Here is a 25,184-nt window from a genome sequence, read left to right as displayed (position 1 = left end):
CGGACCCAGCATATGAAGGCTCACAGCAGGTGCTCAGTGACTTCTTAAAGCAAATGTTGACAAGATGTGCTGGCCAGTGGTTTTAAGAGCGCCAGTTTTATTTGGCCTACTTAACACCTTCACTTGATGTTTCAAAGGCACCACAAACTGTACAGTCTAAGAACTCAGTTCGTAAACTTCTGTGGATTCCACTCTTTTGGGCCAAAGACCTAGACCTCATCCTTTGTAGCTACCTTTTCTCTACTCCCTACTTACTCCAACATACCACCAATCCTAGGCAACTTACCTCCCAATTATCTCTTCCACCACCCATCGACTTCACGCCATCTCCACCATGCTGGTCCAGGCCCCCATCACCCTCCCCCATGTGGACTACTGCATGGTCTGCTCTTCAGTCTCCCTGCCTATCTGTCCCCCAAGTGTGAGTCTTCTCAGATCACCCTCCACTCAGAGGATCCGCTTTTGCTCTTAGATAAGGGCCAGGGTCTCCACCACTGCTTAGGAGGTGCTGCAAGGCCCGACCTGTCAACCATCTCCCCAGAATAGTTCCTCCCATTCCCTTCACCCAACCTGCAGGCAATATTGTTTCCTGACCTCTTGGACTGGATCACAGTCCCTGATACTGCCTTTTATATTTATGTTCATGGTGACTTGATCGATTCCTCCAACACACCTCCAGCTCTGTGAGGGCATAGAGCATGCGTGTTCTGCTCTCTGTTGTATTCCCCGTTCTGAGCAGAGTTTCCAGCCCAGGAGACACGCAATGATTATTTCTTGAATGATGGACATCAGCACAACGTGATAGAGTATTTCCAACTTTCATGTCTGTTATCTCACGTCACCCTCATTATATTCTCACTTTACTCATGAGGTGATCAAAATAGGGAGAGGTTCTGTACATTTTTCCAGGCTCCATGAAACAGAGAAAGGGTCTGTGCAGATGAGGGTCAGAGCTGAGACAAGTTTCTGTGCTTCCTCTACATTGTGTTTTCTCACTTGATCGTATCATTGCAAACCTAAACGACTGGGAGGCAGCAGAACGTCATGATGAACGTGGGCTTTGATGTTGGAATGACCTTGCTTCAGATCCCAGCCCTGTTCCAATTTAATAGTGTGACTTTAGGCAAAGTAATTCATCTCTCGAAGCTAATGGCAGTGCCCACACAAGGCTGTCATGAGAATTAAATATGGAAATGTACAGTTAGCCTTACTCCAGTGCTTGCCACATAGTAAACATATGTAAATGTTAGCAAATAAAAATAATGAATAAACAGTATATGATTCCTCTTAGTTGCAATACCTATAAGTAATTCTTATATTTTGACAGGTTATTTTCTATACTGTAACTACGCTATATGCTATAAGCACTATAGCCTCTAATTTTACACAATATCAAACCTTGCTTTATTGTGTTGGGAATTTTGGGCATTTTCCTCCTTTGCTTGCCACAGTTGCAAACTTTCTTCTCACTCTATCTAGTCTACTTTATCTGTCCTAAGTTTTTTCCTGGCACAGAGCTTCCTCTCTCCTCCTCAATACCAGCATCTGTATCTGGGCAGAAGCCCAGATACATGCCCCTGAGAGCCCAGCTGTAGGTTCCCAGCTGCAGAAAGGATCCTAGGCAGCTTCAAGTCTCATTTGGGTTGTTCCACCTCTTTCTTCCCTTGCTACAGCATCATCCTCCTAAAATCAATGTAGATTTTCCTAGAGGGGCATGCACAAGCTGACAGTCACAGCTGCCCTCCAGCATGAGAGTCAGCAGCCAAAGCTGATGTCTTTTTTTTTTTTTTTTTTTTTTTTTTGAGACGGAGTCTCGCTCTGTCGCCCAGGCCAGACTGCGGACTGCAGTGGCGCAATCTCGGCTCACTGCAAGCTCCACTTCCCGGGTTCACGCCATTCTCCTGCCTCAGCCTCCCGAGTAGCTGGGACTACAGGTGCCCGCCACCGCGCCCGGCTAATTTTTTGTATTTTTAGTAGAGACGGGGTTTCACCTTGTTAGCCAGGATGGTCTCGATCTCCTGACCTCATGATCCACCCGCCTCGGCCTCCCAAAGTGCTGGGATTACAGGCGTGAGCCACCGCGCCCGGCCAGCTGATGTCTTTTATCTTCACTGATAAAGGGACTGACCCATGAACCCATCTCCTCTCGTGTGTTCCTTCTTCTAGCTGAACAATTCAATCTATTAGGAATGGAAGTTAGTGAGACAATCAACACATCACGACTCACTGGTTATGCCAAGTCAAACCCCCAGAGAAATGAGTAGGGCAGAGGAATCCTCTTCTTCTTGGGAACTCCCCACTTCAAACTATTTGTCTTTAAAGATGAAGCAAGTGTTTACATATGTTGCTTCAAATAACAAAATTCACAGTAGCACAAGGGAGTTTACAGTCTGAAACTATTCTGTAATGTCACTGAGATTCACGGCTGTCTGGCATAAGGGTCAGTGTTGGCTGTTCTGAGCCAGTGTTCCCCAATGGAAGGTGTCTCTACCTGCCTGCCATGGAGCAGGGGTGCCTTGAGAACTGAGTGACTGGACCACCCTCGTTATTCCTTCTTGGTGTGAGAAGCAGTGTGGAACAGAGGGACAAGGAGCACAGGGTGACAGTCAGCCACCTTCCAGTCCTGGTGCTGCCACTCATCAGCTGTGCAATGAGCTCCAATTTCCATCTGCAAGACTGTCTCACATACAGTTATTGTTACAGCCCTGGGGCCTCATCTGGAGGCCAGAACACATTACCAGTCAAAAAACACTCACACCACCAGTTTCTTCTATTTTCAGTTACATTTTTCTAAAAGGCATGTGACATGTATGAACTTCATAACTTCAAAAGTACAATTTTATTTTTCTTTGACTACCTTTAATCTCTACCCTTATGTCTGTTTCTCCTCAGTATTGGGAAACGTGATCTTTTTGCTTTTAGGTAAAGAGTAAAATGCCATAATTTCTCAATAATTTCTCAATTCAGGCTTACATAAGCCAGCCACTTTTCAGTTTGAAAGCTCTCTCCTGGGTTTTTTCTTCTCTCCTTCTCCACCCTGAGTGGATTCCTTGCTTGAGAGGACATGTATGATGACGGTAAGAACAGGCACTTGTTCCCTTCTGGTATTAGGGGACTCTTTCCACCCCACTCCTGAGGCTGCCAGCCTTTGCATTTTGCTCATCTGGAGGGACCCAGAGGAGTTGCCTTTTACACCACGGCCACAGTGCACAGCCAGGCTGTGGGAATCATGGTCCTTGGCTGTGTTCTCGCAGCGTCCTGTAGGTGGCCTTTGGTGGTCAGGTCCATGTAGGTCCCCTGTCCCATCTTGTTCTGACCCACTCTTCTATAGGTCTAATGGCTCCCCCAGCCCCTTCTCCAGGCATGAGGATGGTACCAGCATAGCTCTCCATCCCCTCTGAGTCTTCCAGGAGACTCATGCTACCTCTCCACTCCAGCAGCCTTGGCTCTGCCACTCTCCCACTGTGGCTTATGACCAAAAGTCAATGAAGTCCATAATCACCAACAGTCCAAGTGAAGTGTATTAGTCTGTTCTCATGCTGCTGTGAATACCTGAGACTGGGTAATTTATAAAGGAAAGAGGTTTAATTGACTTACAGTTCCGCAGGGCTGGGGAGGCCTCAGGAAACTTACAATGATGGTGGAGGGGGAAGCAAACACGTCCTTCTTCACATGGCAGCAGGAAGGAGAAGTACAGAGCAAAGTGGAGAAAAGCCCTTTATAAAACCATCAGATCTTGTGAGAACTCATTTGCCATCATGAGAACAGCATGGGGGGACCACCCCCATGATCTAATCACTTCCAATGAGGTCCCTCCCCCAACACATGGGGATTACAATTCCAATTACAATTCAAGATGAGATTTGGGTGGGGACACAGAGCTAGACCATAGCATGAAGTGAGCAAGGCATGGGTCCCCACCACTCTGAAATCTCCCAAATTATGGGGGTTCCACTGAGTCCTCCAGGACTCAGCCTGAGGCAGGAGGTGCAAAACAGACTAATGCTGAACTCTTGTGATTCCCTTTCCTAGCATGGATCATTTCCATCTAACTGAAGGTGAATGAGAGACTAAAGATTAATTTCTGCCCAGGTTCACTGTTTTTTTCAAATCTTTTTCTTGCAGCCTTTTCAGAGTGAAGCTGAGAACAGGAGTTTTTGCCGAGCTCTGGGCCATCTTAATGGGGAGGTGCCTGTGTGCCTGCTGGCCAAGTCAGAGGGGGCACGAGCACGGCAGGGAGTGCTCTGAAAGTTATTCACTTCAAATCAGCACTGCAAACTAGCCCGCTACAGACACAATCAGTTCCCACAAACAAGTGAGACCCTCATCCCACGGAGCACAAATATGTTTAACGTTCCTGTAAATTTCAAGCCAATAACACCCAAAGGACAATAAGAAAACAACCATATGAATTATCGCTTTTTTCTTTTTTTAATTTATTATAAAAATTAACATACAGTAACACTGACTTTGTGCTTTGTGTGCAATTGACTTTTTTGTGTATAGGGCTATAAATGTAAACACATATACAGATGCATATAAATAACACCAAAATCAGAATACAAAACAGCTTCACTATTCTAAAACCTCCCTTTGCACACACTCCCCCATCTCTAACCTCCAGCAACTACTAATCTGTTCTCTGTCACTATAGTTTTTTCTTTTGTAAAATCTTATATAAATGAAACCAGACAGTGCGTAACCTTTCGAGACCAGCTTCTTTCACTCAGCATGTTCTGAGAATCATCCAAGTTGTTCTGTATACCAACAGCCCATTCTTTGTTAATCTGCAGGGATAGCCTCTCTTCCATTGCCGATGCTGACAATTTTGTCTTTTTCTTTCTTTGTCAGTCTTACTATAGGTTTATCAGTTTCATTGACCACTTCAAAGAACCAGCTTTTAGTTTCATTGATTTTCTCCTTGATTTTTATGTTTTCCATTTCATTAATTTCTCCTCCTATCTTCATTTCCTTTCCTTTAGTTGCTTTGGGTTTGTTTTGCTTTCCTGTTTCTACTTCATTCAAGTAGAAGCTTATTGATTTGAGTCTTTCTTCTTTTTCATTATGTGCATGTAATGCCATAAATACCTTTCTAGGCACTACTTTAGCCATATGCCACACATTTTGATATGTTGTATTTTGATTTTCCATCAGTTCAAAATATTTTCTAATTTTCCTCAAAAGTTCCTCTTTGACCCATGGTTTACTTAGAAGTGTGTAATTTAACATCCAAGTGTTTAAAGATTTTCCTATTATTGTCTTATTGGTTTGTGTTTAACTCACAAATCAATGAGACAAAATCTTTTTTGTACAACAAAGTATGTCAGAGAACATACTTTGTACAATTTCATTGTTTTAAATTTGTTAGTTTTAGGACCCAGAATGTGGTCTCTCTTGGCAAATGTTCCATGTACACTTGAAAGGAATGTGTATTCTGCTGTTGTTGGGTAGAGTATTTTACAAACATCAAGATGATCCTGTTGGTATTACTCAGTTCTTCCATATCCTTGGTAATTTTCTGCCTACAACTTCTGTTTACTACTGAGCCAGGGGTGTTGAAATCTCAAAGCAGAATTTGGATTCACCTATTTTGCTGTTCAGTTCTCTCAGTTTTTGCTTGATGTGCTTTAAAGGTCTGTAGTTAGATGCAAACACATTTAGGATTGTTACATCTGCTTGGTGAGTGGACCCTTTCATCATTCTTCTTCTTCTATGATACTTCTTCTATCATACTTCTTCTTCTATGAATATAGCTACTCCAGTTTTTCATTTGTGGTTTCATGTTACATCGTTTTCCATCCTTTCACTTTGAACTTACGTATATCATTATATTTGAAGCCAGTTTCTTGTTGACAACATATAGGTAGATCATGCTTTTATAGTCATTATTGCCACACATACTATGACAATCTTTATCTTTTAATTGGCTTGTTTAGATAACGTTGGCAACCTTTTTCTGAAAGCAGCAGATAACATTGGGCTTTGTGTACTATATAACATTTTACAAAACTCTGCTGTTGTGAGAAAGCAGCTATAGACAATAAGCAAAGTAATGAATGTGGCTGTGTTGCAATAAAACTTTACTTACAAAAATAAATTTATATTTTTATTGAAATATGTGTCACCCCTGGTTGAAATCATTACATTACATTTAATGTAATTATTGATATGTTTGAACTCAGACCTACCATTTTATTATTTTCTATTCTCTGTGTTTATGTTCCTCTGTCTCCCCTTTCCTACCTTCCTTTGGGTTATTTGCACATTTTTTAGTATTCCATTTTAAGTGCTTTATTGTATTTTTGACTACATCTCAAATAACGTTTTAGTTGTTGGTCTGGGAATTATGATAGGCAAACTTCTCACAGTCTAGTTAGAGTCAATATCTAACCACCACAAGTGGATGTAGAAAACTTGGAACCATCTGGATCCCTCTAGCCTCTCCACATGTAGTCATTATCTTCTGAATCATATCTACGTGCAACCTCCATCAGACAATGTTATAATTTTGGCTTTTAACCTTGAATATACTTTAAAGAACTCAATAGGGAAAGAAGAGTCTATTATATTTACTCAGTTATTTACTATTTCTATTGCTTCATTCTTGTTATTCTAAGTTTTCTTCTGGTATCATTTCCCATTAAATAAATAAATAAATATATATACACACACACACACACACACATATATATATATACACACACATACATACACACACACACACATATATGTTTAAATAGCTTGTGGGGTATTAGTGGTTTCTGGTTACATGAATGGATTATAAAGTGGTGAAGTCTGAGATTTTGGTGCACCCATCACCTGAGTAGTGTACATTGTACCCAATATGTAGTATTTCATCCCTCGTGCCTTTCCCGCGCTCTCCACTTCTGAGTCTCCAATGTCCATTATACCACTCTGTATGCCTTTGCATACCCATAGCTTAGCTCCACTTATAAGTGAGAACATACGGTATTTGGTTTCCATTACTGAGTAACCCCCCTTAGAATAATGGCCTCCAGCTCTGTCCAAGTTGCTGCAAAAGACATTATTCTTTTTTATAGCTGAGTGGTATTTCATGGTGTGTGTATATATATATATATATATATATATATATACGTATATATATATATATATACGTATATATATATATGTATATATATATATACGTATATATATATATATACACGTATATATATATATATATATATAGTAGGCTGGTGCAAAGGTGATTGCGGTTTTTGCCATTAAAAGTAAGTAATTGCGGTTGTTGCCATTAAAAGTAAGTAATTGCGGTTTTTGCCATTAAAAGTAAGTAATTGCGGTTTTTGCCATTAAAAGTAAGTAATTGCGGTTTTTGCCATTAAAAGTAAGTAATTGCGGGTTTGCCATTAAAACCGCAAAAGTAATGGCTTTCTTCTCTCTGGAACTCCTATTAAAAACTCCTTTTTAAATTGTCTGTTATGTTCCTGAGGCTCTGTTCTTTAAAAATTATTTTCTTTCTGTTGTTCAGATTGGACAGTTTCTACTGCTCTATCTTCAAGTTCACTGACTTTTTTCTCTGTCATTTCCACCCAGTGAGTTTCTTATTAAAAGTAATGGCAAAAACCACGATTACTTTTGCACCAATCTAAAACCACATTTTCTTTATCCACTCATCAGGTGATAAGCATTTAGGTTGGTTCCATATCTTAGCAATTTCTTTAACAGTTCTTTTAGATCAGGGTTGCAGACAGTGAATTCTTTTAGCTTTTCTTTATGTGAGAATGTCTTTATTTCATCTTCTTATTTTATTTTTTTTGAGACAGAGTTTCACTCTTGTCACCCAGGCTGGAGTGCAATGGCATGATCTCGGCTCACTGCAACCTCCTCCTCCCAGGTTCAAGTGATTCTCCTGTCTCAGCCTCCCGAGTAGCTGGGATTACAGGTCAGCCTCCCGAGTAGCTGGGATTACAGGTGTGTGCCACCACACCTGGCTAATTTTTGTATTTTTAGTAGACATGGGGTTTCCTGTGTTGGCCAGGCTGGTCTCGAACTCCTGACCTCAGGTGATCCACCCACCTTGGCCTCCCAAAGTGCTGGGATTACAGGCGTGAGCCTCCATGCCCGGCCTATTTCATCTTCATTTATAAAGTATATTTTCACTGGATATAGAATTGTGGGTTGATGTTTGTTTCACTACTTTGAAAATGTGCCACTGTCTTCAGGCCTTCATAATTTATGATGAGAAATCTGCAGTCATTTGAATTGTTGTTCCCCGATAGGTAATGTGTAATTTTTCTTTGACTGCTTACAGTATTTTTTGTCTTTAGTTTTTAGCAGTTTAATTAGAATATATCTAGATATGAATTTCCTTGGGCTTATCCTGTTTGTGGTTCACTGAGCTTCCTGAATGTGTAGGTTTATTTCTTTCAACAAATTTGGGAAGTTTTCAGCCATTATTTCTTCACATATTTTCTCTGCACCACATTCTTTCTTCTCTCTGGAACGCCTATTACAAAAATATTAGACCTTTTTAAAATTGTCTGTTAGGTTTCTGAGGCTCTGTTCTTTAAAAATTATTTTCTTTCTGTTGTTCAGATTGGACAATTTCTACTGATCTATCTTCAAGTTCACTGACTTTTTTCTCCATCATTTCCATCCAGTTATTTTGGTTATTGTATTTTTTAGCTCTAAAATTTCCACTTGTTTCTTCTGTGTATCTTTTCTTCCTTTGATACATCTTTCTTTGAAGAATTTCAAGGGTAACTGCTTGTACTTCCTGAAGCATTCTGCAATAGCTACTTTTAACATTTTTTGTCAAATAAATGCAACATCTGTGTCATCATGGTTTTACTGTTTGTTGATTAGCTTTTCCCATATAAGCTGAGGATTTCCTGATTCTTTGTATGCTAAATAGTTTTAAATTGTGTTCTAAGCATTTTGAATATTACATCATAAGACTCCTCTGGGCCTTGCTTAAATCTAATGAATAATCAGCAGCAGGCAGTCAGTGAGGTAGAGTTCAGGTTATCAGTTCCATCCAGCCTTCTGTAAGTTGTGCTTCCAAAGTTAGCTCCGTTTTCAAAGCTTTTGAAGTACTATTAGGATCCATACCTCATGTGCCTCCCACAATGGCCAGTCTAGCACTCTGGTGATGGTTTGCTCTGTAGTTCAATTCTCAAAGTCCGTGTATGCTGTTAGGATGAGATTCACATACAGCTCAGGGGTGAGCCCAGGGGTTCAAAAACAATTTAAGGGGTCATTTTCCCACGTTCCTCCTTTGCCTCAATATCTGCTATCCTTTCCAGTTCCCTGGGTGCCCCCCTTGTTAGTCCTCGAGCCAAAAAGCTGGGCCTTTAGTTACCCTGCTCTATGCACTTTTCACAACTGCACTCCTGTTTGTGGACAGATGGTATGTGTACATGGAGATAATAAAAACAGGGACCACAGCTCCTGCAAGCAAATGGGAAAGTTTCCTTCCCTTACAGTTTCCCTCTGGCAGGTTGGTGCTACCACCACTGCAAGGCTACACAGATTAGGGTATGGGGAAATGAAGAAGAAAAATGAGACTTCATTAGCTGTCTCTGAGTTCTAGGAGTTCCCTTTCCCACTTCTCGAGTCAGACCTAAAAAGTTTCTCCTGGAGCTCTTTCTGTCCAGGTCCAGGTGACCACTTCCAGGTTTCAAGCTGAACTGACTTCAAGTCAGAGAATACTGGAAAGAAAAACTTGTATGTTCACCACTAATTTTATGATACTTTCAATTCAACTCTTCTTTCTAATCTGCCCACTGCATATCCTTTTAAGTTCTCAAATAGCTGCTTGATGCATTTGGTCCAGTTGTTTGTAGCTGAATTTAGTGGGAGAAGAAGGGTGGAGTGTGCTTCCTCCCTCTTACCCTGAACTGGAACTCAACTGAGATCTTTCGGATCCCTTGCTTAGTTTGTGTGTTGGGTCTTCATATAAGTAATGGTCATTCTGAGGAGCTTCTATTGATGATAACATACATATGGATCTGAAGAAGAAAAAAAATCCAGATCATATAAAGAAGAAAAATATTTGGGTTATCTTAGGTATGAAAATTAGCTTTGGCCTTCACTTTTGAGGGAAACATAGCAGCTTGTGGCTGTCACTTAATAACCACCTGCTGTAACACCTGAATATCTTTCATGGCTTTATCTGGGCATGGTGGATGTTCTTCTGTGGATGGGTGTTTGTCACCAGGTGTAGGTAGAGTGTTGATCTTCTGGTCAACCTTATAGTTAATCTTAACATATAATAATTGTTACCTAGGATCTGGTAATTTAGGGCAGCAAGAAATCAACAAGGTACTAGTCCATGCCCTTTCACTCATGGTGTCAAATTGTTCAATGGAGCTTGGCTTATCATTGCAGATACTGAATGCTGTTCTTCATTGTCACAAGTCAGACATCTCAGCATGAGGTCAAGATGCTATTTTGCATTGATATTTTGGTCTGTTGGTGCTGCTAGACGTGATAAATCAATTTCACGTCTTTGTCAATAGAATACCAAAGCAAGAAAAGTGGCAGGTGCACACTAGATTTGGAGGCAGGGGACCCTCGTGAAGTCTTTCCCCAGCCAGCTTTATTGAGGTACAATTGATGAATAAAATTTCTATAAATTTAAGGTGTACAAAGTGCTATTTTGATACACATCTACACTGTGAAATGATTACCACAATCAAGCTAATTAACACATCCATCACCTCACAGTTACCTTTTGTGCTTGTGTGTGTGTGTGGGGGGGGGGGCGGGGGTTGAGGACACTTAAGATCTACTCTCTTAGCAAATTTCATGTATACAGTACAGAATTATTAACTGTAATCACCATGCTGAACATTAGGCCTCCAGAAATTATCTGCACAAAGTCTTGATTCTACAGCTTATTGATCATGAGACCTATGGCAAGGAACAACTTCTCTTCCTCTGTTTCTTTACCTGGAAAACAGGAATACTAAGAGTTCTCCTGCCTATCTTTTGGCAGTGCTGAGAAGATCAAAGGAGGTGTTTTGAAACAATTAGGTGGGATATTTGATTGGAATTTTCTTAAAGGGAAGTCCTATGTCATATCCATTCTATTATTTGGAGAACTACCAGGTTTTTCAGAAACATTTTATGAATAAAATAATAAAATATTATTTGATCAAGGCAACCTGAGTTATCTATAACATGGGTATCAAAATACCTTCATCAAAAGGTTAATGTGAAGAGGCCGGGCACAGTGGCTCACGCCTGTAATCCCAGCACTTTGGAAGGCCGAGGCAAGCAGATCGCCTGAGGTCAGGAGTTTGAGACCAGCCTGGCCAACATGGTGAAACCCCATCTCTACTAAAAATACAAAAATTAGTTGGGCATGGTGGCGGGCGCCTGTAATCCCAGCTACTCAGGAGGCTCAGGCAGAAGAATCACTTGAACCCAGGAAGCAGAGGTTGCAGTAAGCTAGGATCACACCACTGCACTCCAGCCTGGGCAAGAGAGCGAGACTCCATCTCAAAAAAGGGGGGGGGGGTGGTTAATGTGAAGATATTAAATGAAATAATATGCATTAAAAAATAAAAAGCATATCAGTGCTCAGAATACATCAGGTGTTTACAATTATTTTTCCTCTAAATCCTGGAAGCTTTTCAGCAGATTTTTGAGGTTGAAGAAACAGGACTCTCAGAACTGCAATAATTGAACATCACCTGAGCACACAAGTCACTGGAACCCAATAGAATCAGCCTAAAATATCAATAGTTACCTTCATGTTTCTTATGTTTTCTTGAAGAACAGACTCCTTTATCATTATGTGTCCCTCTTTATCTGCGGTAATCTTGTTCTACAGTCTGCCTTGTCTGAAATTAATGGAGCTATTCCAATTTTCCTTTGATTAGTGTTAGCATGGTGTATGTTTCTCCATCCCTTTACTTCTAATTTGAGCTATATATTCAAATTGGTTTTTATTTTGGTGGACAATATATAATTGGGTGTTATCTTAGTCCATTTTCTGATTCTATAACAGAATACCACAGACTGGGTAACCCATAAAGGAAGGAAGTTTATTTTGTTCACAGTCTGGAGGCTGGGAAGTCCAAGAGCATAGCACTGGCATCTGGTGTAGCTTATTCCATGGCAGAAGGGAGGATGGAAGGCAAAAGTGAATGCATGACACGGAGGGACAAGATAGGAGCCAAATATATCAAGAGTCCACTCCAGGATAATGCCATTAATCCCTTAATGAGGGTGTAGCCTAATCACTTCTTTCTTTCTTTCAAGAGACAGGGTCTCCAGCTATGTTGCCCAGGCTGGAGTGCAGAGGCTATTCACGGGTGCAATCATAGAGCACTATAGCCTTGCATCCTGGGCTCAAGTGATCCTCCTGCCTCAGCCTCCTGAGTAGCTGTGACTACAGATGCACACCACCACACCCAGCCGAATCACATCTTAAAGGCCCTACCTCCTAATACTGTTACAATGGCAATTAAGTTTCCAATACATCAACTTTTGGGGGACACATGCAAACCATAGCACGTTTTTTAAAAAACCATTTTCTCTCTCTCTTTTAGAGATGAGGTTTTGCCATGTTGCCCAGGCTGGTCTCAAACTCCTGGGCTCAAGCGATCCACCCACCTCAGCCTCCCAAAGTGCTGGGATTATAGGCATGAGCCACTATGCCTAGCCAGATCTCTATCTTTTAACTGGGGCTGTTTAGACCATTCACATTAAAAGTGATTATGGATATCTTTGAATTACTATTGACCATCTTTGTAATTATTTTCTATTTATTGCACTTGTTTGTTTCTTTTTTCCTTTCTTTTTCTTCCTCCTTCATGCTTTTAAAATAAATACAGAATTCTGACCCTGAGTTTTAACCTGAAACAAAAATTGGGGAAATATTATTGAAGAAGAATTTGAGAAATAATATCACCTCCTATCTATTTTGTCAGCATAATACTTATGATAAATCTTTGTTCTCAAGAGAATACTGTCGTGTAATAGAGTTTCACTATTTTGGATTTTAAATGTTTTTCTTTCTTCTCCTGGGAGGGCAGAAGTGATGTGTTTTTACTCTCTCCAGGGACTGGATCACAGGTATACACTTTTACTGTTAGGTTTGTGCCATATATAATTGCTTTTATGAATTACCTCATAGGCAAACTGCTTGCAGTGTACCACATAAATCTTATTCTTGCTGTTTTAGTGATTTGATGGTCAGGAATAAAATGAAAAATGAAAGGAGCTGAGCTGTGTGTTCTTAATTTCAAACCTCGTTTCAATCAGGTTTGTGGAATAGGCAGGACTGTAGTTGACACTTTAGGGAGCCAAAGGGAGGAGAGCGGCATTTGCTTTCTGTAAAACTCTCTGGAATTTAAGGTAATACTTGACATGAGTTCTTTTCTCCGGGCACAGATTTTCATTTCTAGACAATGTCCTGTAGATGGTGCCATTGCCACTCCTCACAGGGTAGAAGAACGGGCTTCTCTACGGGCTGAAACGAGGCAGAACTTTGCTAAATAAACCGTTTGATAATAGAGGAACCAGGAAAAGCTGGTTGTCCTTACCTCTTTACAGATACTCTTGCCAAACTGCCAAAGTCTAGGGTACTTCCTCATTCTGTAACCTTTTTTTTCCCGCTGCCTGGTACCTGGTATCTGTAACCTTTTCTTCTGCTGTCTGGTTCCTGGTATTGTAAATCACTCTCACCTGTCAGAGATGCCCCCTCCGTTTGGCTTCTGAGAGGTGGGATTCTCCCCTTTCCTGCAACCCCTCTCACCAGCTCCTCTCTCTCCTTGCCAGGCCTACTGCTCCTTACCTGGCCCCATGAAGGATGCACAGGCATTTCCCAAGATGCTGTCCCAGGTCAGCTTCCCTCCTCTGCATACACCCTCCTGTGAATCTCATCCCTTTCACATCACTGTATGTAAACCACCCCGAGCTTGCTTCTCTAGAGCCTCCCTTTTCTCTCCTGACATCTACACCTCTGCTTAATTCCCTCATGGAGATCTCAGCATTACCAAAGAGAAAGAGTCCCAGAAATCAACACAGGGGGCTGTACCAGCTCTGGAGGGATGCAGGATGGTAGGAAGCATAAAGTACATTATTTTTTTGAATTATTTTTTATGGATACATATTTATACCTATGTATGGGGTGTATCTGATATTTTGATACATGCATTGAATGTTTAATGATCCAATCAGGGAATTTAGGATATTCGTCACCTCAAACATTTATCATTTCTTTGTGGTGGAAATGTTTCAAATCTTCTCTTCTGGCTATTTTGAAATATAACAATATATTGTTGTTAATACAGTCACCCTACTATGCTATCAAACATTAGAACTGATTCTTTCTATCTAACTGTAAGCATTAACTAAATTAATGTAAAAGAAGCAGCAATTCAGAGCCACCTTGCACTTCCTGGAGAGGATGGGTGGGACACAGGGTACTGTGTCCCACCTGCTGTCCCAGGGGGTGGGACAGGTGATACATGGGTTAGAAGCAGATTCTGGGGCTGGGTGCAGTGGCTCACGCCCATAATACCAGCACTTTGGGAGGTCGAGGTGGGCAGATCACGAGGTCAGGAGATCGAGACCATCCTGGCTAACATGGTGAAACCCTGTCTCCACTAAAAATACAAAAAATTAGCCGGGTGCGGTGGCAGGCACCTGTAGTCCCAGCTACTTGGGAGGATGAGGCAGGAGAATGGTGTGAACCCGGAAGGTGGAGCTTGCAGAGAGCCGAGATAGCGCCACTGCCGTCCAGCCTGGGTGAAAGAGTGAGACTCCATCTCAAAAAAAAAAAAAAGAAGTAGATTCTAGGAGGAAAAAAAAGAAAAGCTACAGGTCCCTTGGCATTGCTTTATTTTTCCCTGGACTTGAGGGCTCATTGATGCATACAATGTACAGTTCCGGAGCAGATTTCTTCAAAGGAACCCATGACCCCTTTAAACATTTCTGAGCTGTATATGCACATAATTCCTAGGTTCTCAGCAGTTTGTGATTTCTGTGTGGGTGTTGCTGGGGCTGGGGTGGGGTGGGTTCATCCTTTATCGTCTGGGCATCTTGAATCCACTTAGTTGTCAGGTTCACAGCCTCAGGCTCTGTATCTGCCCTCTCCTTTCCATCGGGACCCCAGGTCCCCCTGACCCTTCTCACCTCTTGCCTGGATTTTTATTCCACTGGCAGAGATGTGCTTTCCCTACCTGGGGTTTTCTTGCTGCCATCCATCTCAAACTGCGTTAATCTTCCTAAAACACAGCGCTGCAGCTGCTGTCCAAAACTCAGGGCCTCCTGCCTGCCTCCACCAGTGCCTCCTCTCTTTTATTTAAGATTCAAGGCCCTGAACTCTTCAGCCTCATTCCCCACCATCATCATCACCAAAGCTTTAGGCAAATTAGACTCTTCACCTTCCACAGAGTGGTCCTGCCCTCTCCCCACACTGCACCGCTCTCTGCTCAAGTTCTTCCTGCTGTCCCGGAAGGCCCAATTCCTCCACCTTTGCCTGCTGAGGTCCTATGTGATCCTTGGCCCATTTCACAAGCCACGTTCCTCTCTCAAGGCGCCCCTACCCCAGGTACCCTGCCTGCTTGACAGGCTTCACAGTCCACTCTGTTGTCCATGATTTCAGTGAGCATCTCTTCCCAGAACTGGAACTCAGGGGCCGAGATGTGGTTTTCAAGTCATCCATTTACCAAGCGGATGGACCATAGACAGAATGATTAGGATGGACCATTCCCTATCTTTGGAATTGGAGATGATTCAGAGTGTGTGTGTATTAAGGAGGAGGCAGAGGGATGCAGACACAGGGAGGGAGGCTCACATCACAAACTGCTACAGGAGATGAGGTGCTGGTTTTAGGCCCACATAAGAAGGTACTCCAAGAGCCACCAGGTCTCTTAACTCCTGCTAGAAACCAGACGCCAAAGGAACCAAGGAGAGGGCTCAGCCTTGACAGGCAACTACTGGAGGGCTATCTCTCTCCCTGTCTCTCTTTGCACTTGGTGGTGTCCCCAAGGAATAATATGCTAGAAACAGACTCATGATTCAGATGCTCCACAAAGGTTTGTTATTTAAATGATTTTTCCCAAAGAGAATAATCTAACTTATATTTTCAAAACCGTGATGGTCCCATACCAGGTATGCTTAGAGTGGGCCGCAGGGATCAATAGGCATACTCTACCCCCTGAGGAAGGGCAGAGCACTTTCTGGTGCTTAAGTGTCATGCTCTACCAACTGAGCTAGCGGGCGATGATTTTCTGGTATTTAAATGATAACGCTTGATATGGTTTGGCTGTGTCCCCACCCAAATCTCATCTTGAATTGTAGCTTCCACAATTCCCACATGTTATGGGAGGGACCTGGTGGGAGGTAACTGAATCATGGGGGTGGGTCTTTCCCATGCCATTCTTGTGATAGTAAGTCTCACAAGATCTGATGGTTTTATAAAGGGGAGTTTCCCTGCACAAGTTCTCTTCTCTTCTCTGCCGCCATGTGAGATGTGCCTTTCACCTTCTGCCATGATTGTGAGGCCTTCCCAGCCACGTGGAACTGTGAGTTCATTAAACCTCTTTCTTTTGTAAATTGCCCAGTCTCAAGTATGTCTTTGTCAGCAGTATGAAAACGGACTAATAGAACAACCCACAGAGTCAGAGGCACTGAATTAAATCACAGAGCCTGGGCCTGACAGCCCCTTCATTATAGTCTTGTCCTTGAAACTGGACCCTTAGTAACTCCATTTTATAGAAAAACTGAGGTCTAGGAAAGTGAATAAACTCATCTCTCGCAGGGAAGAGGTTCTGGGGCTGAGAAAACCATATCTCCTCTTGTTAGAGAGTCATGATTTTTGAATATTGTCTTTCCTTTGACTTGTGTTTAGTTGGAGGGGAGTTTACAGCATTTATTTTCAAATAAGTCGCCAGTGACATTTAAGTGAAGAATTGGTATCTGCCAGAGGCCATGGGTCTAGAAAGGTTGAGTGGGATGGCCAGGTGACATTCCATACCTCATCTGCTCTGTGGCCTCTCTGGCTACAGGAAGGCTATGCTGAATTCTGTATCCCAGAATATCTTAAAGGCACGCACTTTTACTACAGACCAGGTTTAACCAACTGCCCACCAGGATCTGGGGAAAACCTCAGGCCTCTTCTGCAAAGCAGCAGCTGAAATTCACCTTTCTTCTCCCATGGCACCTATCTGCCTTCAAAAAAGTGACATTTAATTACACACACACACACACACAAACCCAAACAAAAAAACGTATTGATGACAAAGCATAAGTGAGATGAGCTGAATGGGGCAATTAGTTTTCACCTTGGTCAGGTATCTGTTCTCATCTTATTGCACCTTATTGTGAAATGTATATTATCATCAATAGAGGTGGGTTTTATCAGGCTTCAGTATCAAGGATCTTCCATGAATGTTGAGAAGACTTCGCTATTCTGAGTTTCATTTTCCACTGACCATGATGTTTTGCACAACTGACACCACAGGCCAAGGGTTCTTATTACTTCAAAGAGCTGCTTGGCATATCTGGAGGATTCTGTCCCTTGATATTGGGAATATTTTGATGTTTGGGGGTTGTGCTAAAAACTTCCTTTAGCTGAAGTCCTATGAGTAAAAGCATACAGACGCTCATGGTTCTTTTATCAAAGCACTGTGGGGGCACTTATTTTTGTGACACATAATATTCTTTCAGAACAACAACCATAGGAACCATTAATTTACCTTGAATTTACCACTTCACTAGCACTCTCTACTGTGTTATGTGCTGAATAGCTGTCAGAAATGCCACCTTAAGTGCTCACATTTTCTTTAAGCCTTTGGTTATTCAAGATAAAATTAAGGGAAGAGAAGATAATCGCAGAGCATCGTTTATAAGTGGGAGAGGCACAAAACACTATGTTTAAATGACCATGTTTTGGATTTAGGAAGCAACAAAGAGCTTGATGTTTTCAATTCTGATAAGGTATAATTACTGCTCTGAGAGCTCCACTCAGTGGGAAAATCTCTGAAATGTGAAGTCCTTTGGCTGGTGGACGTAATAGCTTCTCTACTGCTTTAGCTCAAGGGCAACATTCATTCTGATGAATCCCTGAATTTAAAATCTGAATGCATTAAACAGATAAAGCTAGCAAGCCTTTATTTTCCAAAGGGGTTCTACTGCTGTCTCTTCTCTCCTGCCCTTTAACAGACACCCTGTCCTGACCCATGAATCAACCAGGTGTTATGGAGCACTCAAGGTGAGCTGGGGCCAGCTTCACTATGAGGAGTTTGCAATCCATGCTAGAGCAATCACTGCACTTTTAAAAACAGTTCCCCAGGGCCTAAATCTCTATTCAGAAGTCATTAACTAATTTACCAAGGGCTTAAAGATATGCAGGGAGCGGGGGCACTCTGCAGACAGCAGGCATCGGGTGTTCTCGTCCCAATACGCTCTTCCTTCCTCTTTGCTCACCCCACATTCTGCTCCTCTCTCCATCCTGCTCTTCCAAGACTCCTTCCCATTATCAAGGATGAGGCTTCCACTTGAGCACATAGTATTTTTTTTATGGCAACAGCTTAAACCATTAGGTCATTTTCTGTGTGTTTAACTTTTAGATTATTGTTTCACCTGTTTTGCAATTGTGCGTTTCCCCCCTTAATACATAAAAAGCACCTTGATGATTGTGAAGAGAGGGAGAAGTAGCATCATAATATAGTGGAAAAACATGAGTGTTGGGTGTGGCCTGGCCTGTATTTGTATCTTGGCTCCATCACTTTCTAATTATGTTGTCTTCAGAGGACTATGCAATCTCCCCAAACCTCAGTTTCCCCAGGCATCACATGAGGATGATATCTACAACAGCTATGGTTGTTGTGAGGGTTAAAATAATGCCTGTTAAGTGCCCAGGACATAGTAGATGGTCAATAAATAAGAGCTCTATTGTTAAAGTTCTGCCTCTTACTTTTTTGAATCCTCCCTACCTACCCACCCCATATGGTAGAGACAGAGTTGCTAAAGATTGTCTACTAATATATGTGAACTGAAGGTGAAAGGTTGAAGTTCAAATATACAAAATATATAAAAAATATACATACCCCTAACTAACAACAACAAGACACAGATAAAGCAAATATGGCAGAATGTTAATAAATGTTAAATATGGATTATGGGGTATCTGGGTTTTATTCTTTCCACTATTCTATATTAAATTTTTTTTGTGATAAAAGGTAAAATAATAAAAGCCTTAAAATATATACACACTCTGAGAAGAAGGAGGTTGGTGAATTATTAATTTTTTAGTAAGTTTAGAAAGTCCAAAAATGCTTGACATATTCATTTTGAGGTCTTTTATGCCTAAACTATTTAATAACATGTAAAAAAATTCAAAACCATCATCTACAATCACATTCATAAAGTTAACAAAGAAGACAAGAATAGATATGAAAAATACTGAATAAGTATAATAAATCTTATTAAAAGTAACATGAAAATCCATGTACCCTCAGGTAATGTGTATAAAACTCCATGCTGCAGGGTGAGGACCATCCTGTGGACTGTTTCATGGGAGAGCCACCAGGGGATGCTAAAGAGTAGCATTACGGGGAACCACACAGCAAAAGCACCATCACACCATTCAACCTGACCCTAAGGAGCGCGAGTCCGTCCCTGAGAGTCACACTCATTACTACACCACTTGGGGGTCTGGGAGCATGGATACAGCAGATCTGTTTGGCCCGTGGTGAGGAACATACCTTGCTGCAGGGGCAGAGCTGCCTGCAACCAGCACAAGTGTGAGGCTGCTGTTGGCACCTAAGTGTGGCATCTTAGAATCCCTGGACGCTGGGCTGAGGCTGTGTTAGAGCTGACAACTTTCACAGCTACTCTGCCAGGAGCTATAAAGCATGGGGCAGAAAAGGGAGATTCTTATCTGGGCTTCTAATTCTTTTTCTCTAGTGGTGAGGCTTACTTCCAACACATATTTAAATTAATGGCATCAGCATATTCAGGTAAAAATATATAGCAGCAACTGAAGAGCTATACTAGAAAATTATTTTCATTTTCATTTTAAAAAATGTATTTTGAGATGGAGTCTCCCTCTGTCACCAAGGCTGGAGTGCAGTGGAGCAATCTCGGTTCACTGCAACCTCCGTCTCCTGGGTTCAAGCAATACTCCTGCCTCAGCCTCCCAAGTAGTTGGGATCACAGGCACGTGCCACCACACTCGGCTAATTTTTTTAATTTTTTTTATTTTTGGTAGAGATGGGGTTTCACCATGTTGGCCAGGCTGCTCGAGCCTGGCCACTGAAAATTATTTTCTTAAATTATTTTTAAAGTACATTCCAGGCCAAGCTCTTCAAGGGCTTTGACTGTGTTTTCACCTTCTCCCACTTGAGAGTAAAATCCTTGAGGTAGATCCTGACAGATTTCTTTGTACTCAGAAAAGAATGTTTGATTGAATATTTGTTAAAAAAGTGCCTTTGCCAGCTGGGCATGGTGGCTCATGCCTGTAATCACAGTGCTTTAGGAGGCTGAGGCAGGAGGATCACTTGAGGCCAGGAGTTTGAGACCAGCCTAGAAAACATAGTGAGACCCATCTCTATAAAGCATCTTTGCACATTAATTCACTACATTCTCACAATGACTTTGTGAAGAGTTATTATGAATTCTATTTTAAATGGAGAAAACTGAGATTCAAAGTTAATGACTCAGCCAGGGGGAAAGAGAACAAGGACAGGGATGTTATTCCTACAGTGATGATGACGAAGTGCACAGAGGCAGGAACTTGCTCAAGGTCTCACCACTGGATAGGGGCAGAGATGGAACTGACTCTGGGTTAGCACTGCGTCCTCTCTCCACCAGAGCATGCTGTGCAGATAAATATGCTACAGTGTACAAAAGATACACGTGCATTCCTTACAGGATGGAATTCTGGCAGGGCCTTCTAACTGGTAGAACAAAGAGATCATGCATTTTCAGGCTATACAGGTCATGCTTCCTCAAAGCTGGCATGCTTGGCTCAGACAAGATCTCATTCACAATAATAATGCATGGGTTTCTCACAAGGGTGACATGGGGTACCTTGGGTTCTCCTGACCTGGTAACTTCAAAGGGCTCCATTGTTGAAGGTTTCAGGGCTGCTTTGCCTCTATTTTCCCAGGTTCTCCACCCCATGTCACACCTCCTGGTCTAATTCAGTATTACTAGCAAATTCTCAAATCCATCACCTTAAACTACATGGCATGCATGACGGCCTGCATAAAAGCCACTGATTATGTTCAATTAGGACTTTAACTTTTTAAAAAAAAAACATTTTATCTTCTGTTTTTTCTTCTGGCATTTATCTGGAGAGAAAGATAGCGTAGAGATCAGAAAGACAGAGAAAAAAATACATTGTGTGGGAGGTGAAATGCCACGGTCATTTTTGAAGCCCATTTGGAGTTACTGGTTGTGATTTACTGAAAAGAAAATGAAATTCATGTCCACCATCCATCTTGCTGAAATGTCATGCCAAGTGTAGCTGTAGTAGCAGAGAGGTCCAGTGGAGATGCCTGCAAATCACCTGCCAGCCGCTGTTGGTCTCTGGTTTGAGAGCCACATGCATGCTACAGAGAAGTAAAACTCCTGGTCTGCAGGCCAACAAGGAATTTTCCTGGAACATGGAAGTGCATAACTACAGGGAACTGACCCCTAATTTTGGCAGTTACTCTCTCCCCTGCCATGATCCCAAAAGTGGGGCCTAAAAGTTCCAACTTCTAAAACACGGAACATATTATCAATATATTATATCAATATCTATTGCTTTGTCCATCATATGAAACCTTTATCAAGGGCTTGTTCTGACTCTTTGGATGATGTCTGGAAGGCAGAGTCCCAGAGCAGGCAGTGTGACTAAAACAGGGTCACTGAACTTCAAGGAACAGCCCTGTTTTCCTCTTTAGGTACAACTTGACAGTCAGTGGGAAATACGACGAATCACCTTCCCTAATTACAAAAATGCTCATCTTGACCATGGCCAGTCAGGCCTCTTGGGCTCCTTGAAGACGTGTTTGTAACTTTAATTCTTACGGGGGGGGGGGGGTGTTCGGCTACTTTATGCAAGCTTACCAGATCACGTCATGCATCGTGACTAGACCAGAAAGGAAGGTATGAAATTCACATTGGCCATTTTCTGCTGGGGTTAAAATTCTGGTTGGGGAGGAGGCTGAAACTATTGGTAAAATGGAAATTTCAGGGCTGTCTACTCATCTTGTCATTTAATACCACAACAGATTGATAAATGGCTCTTTCTGTTGAAAGCTTTAAACAAACAAAAATAATAACAACAAAAAAGAGCAGCTCAGGCTTCTATACTGGAGTAGAGGGGAAGGTGAAGGATGTCATAAAAGGCCAAAAAGGAGCTGCCAGGGGACATGGAGCCACTTCACATTCTTCTGCTTTTCTTTTCAAATTGACCAGATATTTCGTTAATTCACTTTCTTATTTGGAGAGCATTTATACAGCACTTTTACTTCCTCCCATGTATAGATACCAGGAGGTCCATATGTGCATCTCAAAAATGTGCACTTATGTTTATGCTTTTTCTCCCCCAAGCACACCTTGGTGACTTCAAGGTGGAGAACAAATGCAGTGGGACACTAGGCTCCCACCTCTGTTCCCTGGGGAAAGGCTGGGATGCTTATCTGCTCCATGGTTAATAACAGATTCAGTATACACACACAGATCCAGACATTTGCAGAGGAGAAACCAACCTCCCTGCATTTTCAGAAAAATTGAGGGCACAAGGAGAATCCGAACCTCACCCCATGCTGCTCTGGGAACTGTGAGCATGGCCTTGAGAAGAGTCCCAGGCCAAGCACATTCCATTGCCCATCAACAGCCGACGTGAACGGTACTGGGGCCCTGTCTCCCTTTGTTGTGATGTGAGCAGTAATGTCGGAAAGTGACCATCTCCCCTCGAAAATGCAAACTACCACACGCTCCATTTCCTGCAAAGATCCCACCTTCAAAAATGTTCCTGTATATCCTTTCCTTTCATTTTTTACATAATTTCGTATTTTGGAATGAAGATTATTAATGATCCTTCCCAGACGTATTTCTTTCACACCTAAGGATAAACGTGGCTCCCCAAAGATGATGGGATGCCTCAGGAGATTCTGCCTGAACTCCTGAAAATCCAAACTCCACTCTGATCAAAACTCAAACCCAAAACAGCAACATACACAAACAACCGTCACCATCACCACACTCTCCTCCAACCAAAATGCCCTTGGACCTTCACGAAATGGGGCCTCACCTTTCTAAAGAAATGCTGCGTGGCCACGGCGAGGGCATCAAAGCCGCAGATGGCCCTCTTCAGCTCCCCTTGCGCAACGCCCAGCTGTCTGGTCTGCTGCTCACACCGCTCCTTCAGCCGCAGCACCAGCTGCCGCTCAGCCTCACGGGCCTGCGGGTCCGGCTTGGGCGGAAACCCATTTCGAGCTGCCGCAGTCCTCTGCTTTGGGTATCCTGTGAGAAAGAAAACCAAACCCCGGTCACCTGTGAAAAAACACTCAGTACACATGTGACAACGGCTTCTTATTACACAAGGAGTTCTTCAAGTGGTAGAGAAGAAATTGCCCACGGTTTGTCATTTTTAAGGATTGAAAAGAAAAAACAGTCAGGGACTAAAATTATTGTTCCATTAATGTGGTTGTTAAGTGCAAGGTTTCGTGCTTGGAAAAAGGATAACAGACAAAATTGCCAAATTCCTTCCAGCTTCCGACACTTCTTCTAGGCTTGCTTGGAGAGAGAGAAGCTTTTTTTTTTTTTTTCTTAAAGGAGATTACTCTTTGACAATGTCTAATGGGAAATTAATCAATCAATCCAGATAGAAGTCAGACTTATAATCGTCTAGCAACCTTTTAATTGGGCACCAGAGAATAACACCTCGATGCCCCTTTCTTCGCCGTAGAGGCTGCTCTAGTGACCCTTTTCTTCAATGTCACGTCCAAGTCACAGCCCTGGCTACCGCTGCTCTAGCAACTCCTGACTTTAAATTCCTATAGCACCAATGTATTGTGAGGTCTCCTGCAACACATCCCTCCAATGTGACTTGACGCCTCCTCCATGGCTAAAGGTGTAGTCTGAGCCGCCATCCCCTCTCACTCTCTGATGGGAAGCCCTGCTTCCTCTCTTCCTTCACTACGCCACAGCCAGAATGACCTTTGCACACGTGAGGCACGTCATCACTTGTGTGAACCCCTCTGCTCACTTTCTCTCACGATGAATAGGAAGTCCACACACCTTACCATGGCCGGCAAAGCCCTCTGTGACTTGGCTCCTGCCAGGTGAATGTGAGGGGCTGTGGGGCCACAGAAGACGGGGCAAGGAGCTCTGCCTGGGGTTGAGGACAGGGTTTTGGGCATTAAGGAGAGGTGATTTTTAGGTTGAAGCTCAAAAAAGAAAAGGCAAGGTCCCCCAAAATAGCACAGAGGAAAGCACTCCACCACAGTCCAAGACCCGTGCATGGGCAGGCGTCTTCCTCTGGTCCCTCTGTAGGAGGCACAGACAGACCTGGGATGTGCAGGCGGTCGGAGAACCCCTGCTATTGACAATGGGCTTACATCTCAAAGGCACGTTCTTTCCTTCACTCTAGTAGATTACACTCCTAGAGGACATGACACAGACACTGACCAGCACAATCATAAATCCACTAATATTTCAAATGTTTTCTTCCTCTTCTGTTTTCCTCTCCGAGATACCAGGGAGCAACATATAAAACAAACCAGAAAATGGTAGCCCCTTCAGTACCTGGTGTACTGAGACAATGCAGAGTAATGGGTTTGTGAACGTGCAAGTGGCCTCATCTTTTAAGGGGAAAGTGGTTAATTGACCTAAATGCTTCTAGTGGTTAAGGGTAACCATGCTAATTTTAATTAATTCCTTCTCCTCCTAAAAAGTCATCAGAGATTGCCATGTAACCTCACATATGGCATATCGTAAATTATTCTGACTTAATGGAATAGGAGAATGTGAAATCACTGCTTCATAGAAACTGTGTTTATGATAGCAGAATACATAATATTCCAGAAAACTCACTTGCTTGTTGTAGGCAAATCAACCTGAATATGTACTTTATCTCAACATTCTCAGTGCTGAAAACAAAACAAATATGACTACCAACTAAACATCATCAAGAAAAGGTGAGAGATTTTATTGCCTGCATTAAACTCTAAGACACAGCCTAA

At 42.3% G+C, this 25,184-nt stretch overlaps 1 protein-coding gene across 12 annotated transcripts in view, besides 3 other annotated features; it reads right to left on the bottom strand.

The window, feature by feature from the left end:
- Window positions 1-25,184, bottom strand: part of MTUS2 (microtubule associated scaffold protein 2) — a 685,985-nt gene that overhangs the window by 123,223 nt on the left and 537,578 nt on the right. For 11 of the 12 annotated variants that reach the window (XM_047430227.1, NM_001384605.1, XM_011535019.4 and 8 more), the window contains one exon: window positions 23,252-23,463. In XM_047430227.1, the coding sequence (XP_047286183.1) occupies window positions 23,252-23,463 (212 nt within the window). Of the gene's footprint in view, window positions 1-7,464; window positions 9,993-23,251; window positions 23,464-25,184 lie in introns of those variants that run through there. The other variant, XM_017020500.3, reaches the window with a different exon arrangement.
- Window positions 19,479-19,773: a silencer, noted in NCBI's record as "tiled region #1517; K562 Repressive non-DNase unmatched - State 12:CtcfO". NCBI's record gives its function as "represses a minimal TATA promoter and a strong SV40 promoter by Sharpr-MPRA in K562 cells {active_cell/tissue: K562}" and the evidence as "EXISTENCE:reporter gene assay evidence [ECO:0000049][PMID:27701403]".
- Window positions 19,479-19,808: a biological region, named in NCBI's record as "Sharpr-MPRA regulatory region 1517".
- Window positions 19,589-19,808: an enhancer, noted in NCBI's record as "active region_7518". NCBI's record gives its function as "activates an Ori minimal core promoter by ATAC-STARR-seq in GM12878 lymphoblastoid cells {active_cell/tissue: GM12878}" and the evidence as "EXISTENCE:reporter gene assay evidence [ECO:0000049][PMID:35858748]".

The sequence above is a fragment of the Homo sapiens genome, chromosome 13, assembly GCF_000001405.40.
Source record: "Homo sapiens chromosome 13, GRCh38.p14 Primary Assembly".
In the NCBI taxonomy this organism is placed as follows: Eukaryota; Metazoa; Chordata; class Mammalia; order Primates; family Hominidae; genus Homo; species Homo sapiens.
This window is presented reverse-complemented; position numbering and strand designations above follow the sequence as displayed.